The 6,317-nt window shown below is 44.5% G+C and overlaps 1 annotated feature.

The window, feature by feature from the left end:
- Positions 5,634–6,317: an enhancer, noted in NCBI's record as "NANOG-H3K27ac hESC enhancer chr11:121514837-121515520 (GRCh37/hg19 assembly coordinates)". NCBI's record gives its function as "activates a minimal SCP1, AML or CMV promoter by ChIP-STARR-seq in naive H9 embryonic stem cells {active_cell/tissue: H9 hESC(naive)}" and the evidence as "EXISTENCE:reporter gene assay evidence [ECO:0000049][PMID:30033119]".

Below are 6,317 nucleotides of genomic sequence, written 5' to 3'. Positions count from 1 at the left end.
GAGCCAGATCCTGCCTCATGAGCTCCCTGTGCCCCTTGACATCTGAATGCTCCTGATCTCCACCTACCTCTCTGGCCTCCCTAGCACAGCCTGTCCCAGGCTCCTAATGTTGGATGTTGGAAGAGTCCTGGAAGTGTTGCTTTGAGATCTCTTCTCATTCCTGACATCCTTCTCCCAACTTTTCTCTCTACCCTCCCTCTTACTGCCACGATTCAAGATATAAATCTCCGGCAAACATCTCCAGCCTAGCTCTGCACTCCAAAAAAAACTGTCTAAACTGTCCTCCCCAACCGCCCCTCCCATGCACAATTCTCCTTCGAACTCTATACCTCCCGCAGCCCCGGCCCCCCAGCACTGGTAGCACTGACCACCTTCAAACATATGATGTCACTTCGTAATCTCTTGTGTTTATTGTTTGTCTCCCTCTGCTTGAGGCCAAGTTCCTTGAAGACAGCGGTTTGTGTGTTTGTTCACTGTATTATCCCCAGCACCTGGAGTGTGCCTGGTACATAGTCACTCAGTAGATGTTTGCTCAATGAAAGAAGCCAGCTGTCAACCAGTCATGCTGCCTGGAAGTGCCACTAGCCCTTCAAACTCAACATTTCCAAAACAGAATTCACCACCTTTCCTAGCCCTTGTCCTCCTTCTGCCTCTCCTATCTGGGTTCATTCAGCCAGACCCTCAGTTTTACAGGCTGAGAATGTTGGAAGTGTCCTGAACCTCGCTCTGCCTTCATGCCCCTTCTTCTAGGGGCACACTGCTAGCTGTAGTGAGTTCTCTGCAGATGGTGTGACCTCTGAGGTTTTGCAAAACAGTGATCTCTGTACTCAAGGAGACCCCTAACAACCTTATTAGCAAGGCATTTTCCTAGATGAAACAACTGAGGACCCACGTAAGACTAGATAATGAAATGGGCGGCACGAGTAGTGTGGTGAATGCAGTGTGGCAAAGTCGGTCACAAGACATTGGCCTGGGCTAGGTGATCATTTGCCAAACATTGTCTTTTTTCTCCAAACACTTATAGAAGGGATATTCATCTAGCGCCTTCCAGCTTAAAAGCACTTGTACGACCCGGTGCGGTGGCTCACTCCTGTAATCCCAGCACTTTGGGAGGCAAGTCCTGAGGTCAGGAGTTTGAGACCAGCCTGGCCAACATGGCGAAACCACGTCTGTACTAAAAATACAAAAAATTAGCCAGATGTGGTGGTGGGTGTCTGTAATTCCAGCTACTTGGGAGGCTGAGGCAGGAGAATTGCTTGAACCCAGGAGGCAGTGGTTGCAGTGAGGCGAGATCACGCCACTGCACTCCAGCCTGGGCAACAGAGTGAGACTCCATCTCAAAAAAGAAAAAAAAAAAAAAAAGCACTTGTACATCTACATCTTTCAAACCTTCCAACAACCCTGTGAGGTCCGCTTCCACATCATTCCATTTTATGGACAAGAGAACGAAGGCACTGAGGTACTGAGGTGACCAGGGAAATTGTCTTAGTGATCACAGAGCCACGAAGAAGCGCTGAGGCAGGCTGATGCCTCAGCTTGTACTCGCTCCCCTGCACCGCCCTTTGGGCTAGACTTAGCTAACCTGGCCTTCCGTATAATCCGGCCTGTTTTGTTTTTGTTTTTTGTTTTCTAACTTTTCATTTGTTTTACTATTATCTGCCACAGACTGTATGGCAAAGATCACTAGTTGCCTGCTCAATATGGATTCTCCCCTTCCTCCTTCCAGCGCTGGAAGTGGCAATGAGCCAGGATAAATGTACATGCTTCCCAGACTCCTTGCAGGAAGGGATGGCCAAAGCCACACAATCAGAAGTTGTTGGGTGGAGATTCTGGGAAAACTCTTTAAAAGGAGCCGACACAACAGTGAGGTACTCTTACCCACCTCACCTCTTCCTCCCTCTCGATGCCTGAAACTTAGACCTGGTGGCTGGGATGGGAACTCCATGCAGGCTGCAGACAAGGCGGGGATCTAAAGGGAGAAATTCACACTAAGGATGGCGGAGCAGAAAGATGGGAAAATCCTGGATCTTTGATGGCCAAAGCTTCTATACCAGCCCAAGATTTCTTTTACACAAAAACAAACACACAACCCCAGTCTTTTGAAGCCACTGTTATATGGGGTTTAGGTTATATGCAACTGAGCCACATACTAACTGATTGACTCTTCAAGAACAGGTTAATTAAGGCCTGGTGCAGTAGCTCACATCTGTAATCCCAGCATTTTGTGAGGCCAAGGCAGAGAATCACTTGCACCCAGACTCTGTCTCCAACAAAAATTTAAAATCAAATTAGCCAGGCGTGGTGGCACAGCCTGTAGTCCCAGCTGCCTGGGAGGCTTAGGTGGGAGGATCATTTGAGGCTGGAAGGTCCAGGCTGCAAGTGAGCCATGATTGCATCACTGTACTCCAGCCTGGGTGGCAAAGTAAGATCCCTGTCTAGAAAAGAAAAAGAAAAGAAAAGAAACAAGAACAGGTTAATTCATCCCCTCATCCATTCAACAGATTCACTGAGTGTCAAGGATTGTTCTAGGCTCTATGGAAATAAACAAATGAGGAGCTCCAACTTAAAAGGTTCTGTGTTTTCTACTTCTTCACCCTCACTCTACACCTAACCACTCGGGATCCAGGGCTGATGAGTGGCAGGCTTTATTCCACAACAGTTTGCCCACTCTTGGGTAAGATCAATGGCCTTCACTTTTGTACTCTCCCCAGCAAGCTCACCATCTCCACAGATGGGGTGACTTGTGCTCCTGAAGCAGAGAGGTCACCTTTTGTGCTGTCTCCCCCTATCAGAGCCACTTCTGGCCCATGTGTCTTTGTGTGAAGAGCAACCTCACATGACCTTGGAATGTCTTTTAAGAGTGAGCCCCCAAAGGACTACTTCAGTCTGGCACTTATTCAGAAAGTTTGCTACATCTTGAAAATGTGTCCATTCATTCCAACCTATTCAATGTATTACCAAATTTTGCAGCAGTAGAAATTTAAAGATCATGTAGCTATATAGAATAGATTACTCTGTGTGTGTTTGTCTGTCTCATTTTCAATGAGGAGTGTGATGGTTAATTTTATATATCAATTTAACTGCCCATAAAGTGCCCAGATTAAACATTATTTCAGGGTATGTCTGTGAGGGTGTTTCCAGATGAGGTTATCACTTGATTGCTGGACTCGCTAAAATAGATCCCCTTCCCCAGTGAAACTGTGAATCATCCAGTCCATCAGGGGCCTGAATAGAACAAACGTGAGAGAAGGAGGGGCTTGCTCCTTTTTTTTTTTGATTCCTACCTGCCTGCTTGAGCTGGAACATCTCATCTCATTGTCTCCAGCCCTTAGATTAGGATTTATACCATTAGCTCCTATGGTTCTCACCTTTTGGACTAAGTTACACAACTACCTTTCCTGGGTCTCCAGCTTGCAAACAGTAGATTGTAGGACTTCCCAGTCTTTGTAATTATGTGAGCCAATTCCATGTATATATTTCCTACTGGTTCCACCCTAATGCAAGGAGATAGGGAAATCACATAAATCTCTGGGCTCACTCTTCCTGCCATGTCTTGCTGCCTCTTGTAAGACATAATTACTCTGTCTTCTCCTTTCAATCTATCCCCCTCCACCCAGAACCTCTGAATACAGGAAACACTCAAGTAAATGTCGATTCCATAAAAGAGACCATCTACTAAACTAGCACAGTGGGGTTAACTCCAGGAAGGACCAGATAGATCTGGGCTCAAAACTGGCTTTATGTTCTACGTAAAACTTGATGATTATATTTATTCCAAAGGAGTTTTCATGTTTAATGATATGGCAATGCCTGGCACATCATTGGTCCTAAATAAATGGGAGCAATTATTGTGCACTCACCCGTCCATCCACCCAACAAACATTTCCAAAATAACCATAAATTCAGAGCAGTCTAGTGTCAGTGATAGAAAAGAAGTAGACAACATGGTCTTTCATTTTAGAGAACTTAGTTTTGCCAACCAAAATAGAAGTTAGGGGAAATTTTACCAGGTGAGAAGGTAAAATAGATTTTCCATCAAAGGGTTCCAATGGCCACGGCTCTCTGTAATCGGAAAGTTGATTCCCTGATGAATCCTCCAGTGTGATTTATTTTATTTTATTATTTTTGAGGCAGGGTATCAGTCCATCTCCTGGTCTCAAGCGATCTTCCCACCTCGGCCCCCAAGTAGCTGGGACTACAGGCGCAAGCCAACACACCCAGCTAATTTTTGTATTTTCAGTAGAGACGGGGTTTCACCATATTGGCCAGGCTGGTCTCGAACTCCTGACCTCAAGCAATTGACTTGCCTTGGCCTCCCAAAGTGCTAGGATTACAGGCGTGAGCCACCACACCCAGTCAGTGTGATTTATTTTAGTAAGAAACCACATCACACCTCAGGCCCTGTGCATATATGCCATTCCTTCACACAGCCCAACTTGAGAGATGAGCAGAAGAGAGCTGCCCTTTCAGTGAAGGACTGAAGGATGCATTCTTCACTTTCCATCCTGCTGGTACCCCTGCTACAGAAGCTGACAAGCAGAAGCATTCAGGGAAGGACTCCGTCCCCTGCTCTACTGTGCAGGGGATGATGCTATTTTCACATCAACAGGCCATATGGGTGTAGGATGCAGCTGCTTGCACCATTGTTTCAAGGCTGTCTAAAAGAGTCAAGGAGAAGGAATCCCAACTATGGAGTTCAGAAAAGGGAGGAAGATCAACTTGTTAATCTGTGGTTTAGAGACTCATTTTTAGCATGAATTACAGAGTTTAGGGTGAAATGGTTAAGACAGACATATTACCTGTGCTCCATTAAGAAAGGGAGCTGAGAAATTCTGGAAAAACTTTAAAAGGTGGGTTATTCAAAAATGTATTTTCTATGTGTGTTTTATAAACAAAAAGCTTGCCTACTTGTGTACATTTTGCTGTTATTACAGTCAGCTTTTATTTCCCCAATATAAAATAACAGAATAGTGTTAGGTTATAGGAGAGTATTTGGGTACTGGGATTCTTCCATTCATCCCTTTTTCCATTTGAGGAAGAGTCTACATATAAAAAACAATGGCCAAGGGGAATAAGGTACCACATTATTAATAAAATCTAGATCAACAGACAACAACACAACCCTTCCGCCCCAGTGAAGAAGGTTTCTCTGAGAAGCTGAGTTGCAGCCTGACTCAGGCTGGAAATCAAATTGGAGCCTACTCCCCCATCCCAGTAGAATCACAGGATGTACAGCACAGGCTTCACTTCAGAGCTTTTGGATTAAAACTGATTAGCTCACTGATGAGCCAAACTCTTAGGCAAGTCATTTGACATCTTTATTCTCCATTTCCTCTTTTATCAAATCATTTATACTACCTACATAAGACCCGAAATGGCCTCTCAACCCTGAGGTTTTATTATTTGTTGCTCTGGAGAGCAGGAATCATGCCTGTCTTATTCCACATTATATTCCCAGGACAAATATAGGACTGGATACAGAGGAAGTACTCAATAAGTATTTCTTGAATAAATGTTGCTATTGGATCTATGCATCCAGTGCCCTAATTGACCAGGGAGTTTTGAATCTTGCCAAGTAGAGCTTGAGACCTCACTTTCCTCTTTAATTTCTCCAGAAACTACTAAATCCTCAGGATTCTCTTTTTCTCCTACTTGAACTTGATGCTATATCCTGAAGACTACAGACATAAAAGATTCCAATAGAAGGCTCAGCATCTATTCACATAGAATCGGAATTTTACATCCTCTAGCTCTGGCATCATAATCTCTTTGTCTTTATTTTTTTTATTTTTTTTATTTTTTGAGACTGAGTCTTGCTCTGTTGCCCAGGCTCTGGAGTGCAGTGGTGTGATCTCAGCTCACTGCAAGCTCCGCCTCCTGGGTTCATGCTGTTCTCCTGACTGGCATCATAATCTCTATAATATTCTTGTGCTGCAATTTAATACTAAGGAAAACCATCTTGCCCATCTAACACATTCCCATTCTGAGTTGAAATGAAGAAAGTATTCACCACCCAACACTAAATACCTCCAAAGCTCCTTTCATCTCTTTCTCTTCCTCCCTCCCCATCACAGAAACCGGCAAACCAGTCCCACCACTGAGCTTTTAGCAGACTGTAGACCATCCACTTCTCCGCAGAGTCAACACCTCCTTGTTTGCAAGTCAGGTTCCTTTTGCCCTAAACGTGCTTAATGTGACAAACATGTTTGCGACCCATCTTCTGTTTATGTGCCTATGTTATGCTGTCTCATGTCTACTTCTGTTCTCTACTTTCGTTGATGGGATGTGTTGATAGCTATTCCCCCAATCTTGTGAGC

This window comes from Homo sapiens, chromosome 11 (assembly GCF_000001405.40).
Source record: "Homo sapiens chromosome 11, GRCh38.p14 Primary Assembly".
NCBI lineage: Eukaryota > Metazoa > Chordata > Mammalia > Primates > Hominidae > Homo > Homo sapiens.
The sequence above is the reverse complement of the archived record's forward strand: the minus strand, read 5'-3'. Positions and strand labels throughout refer to the sequence as shown.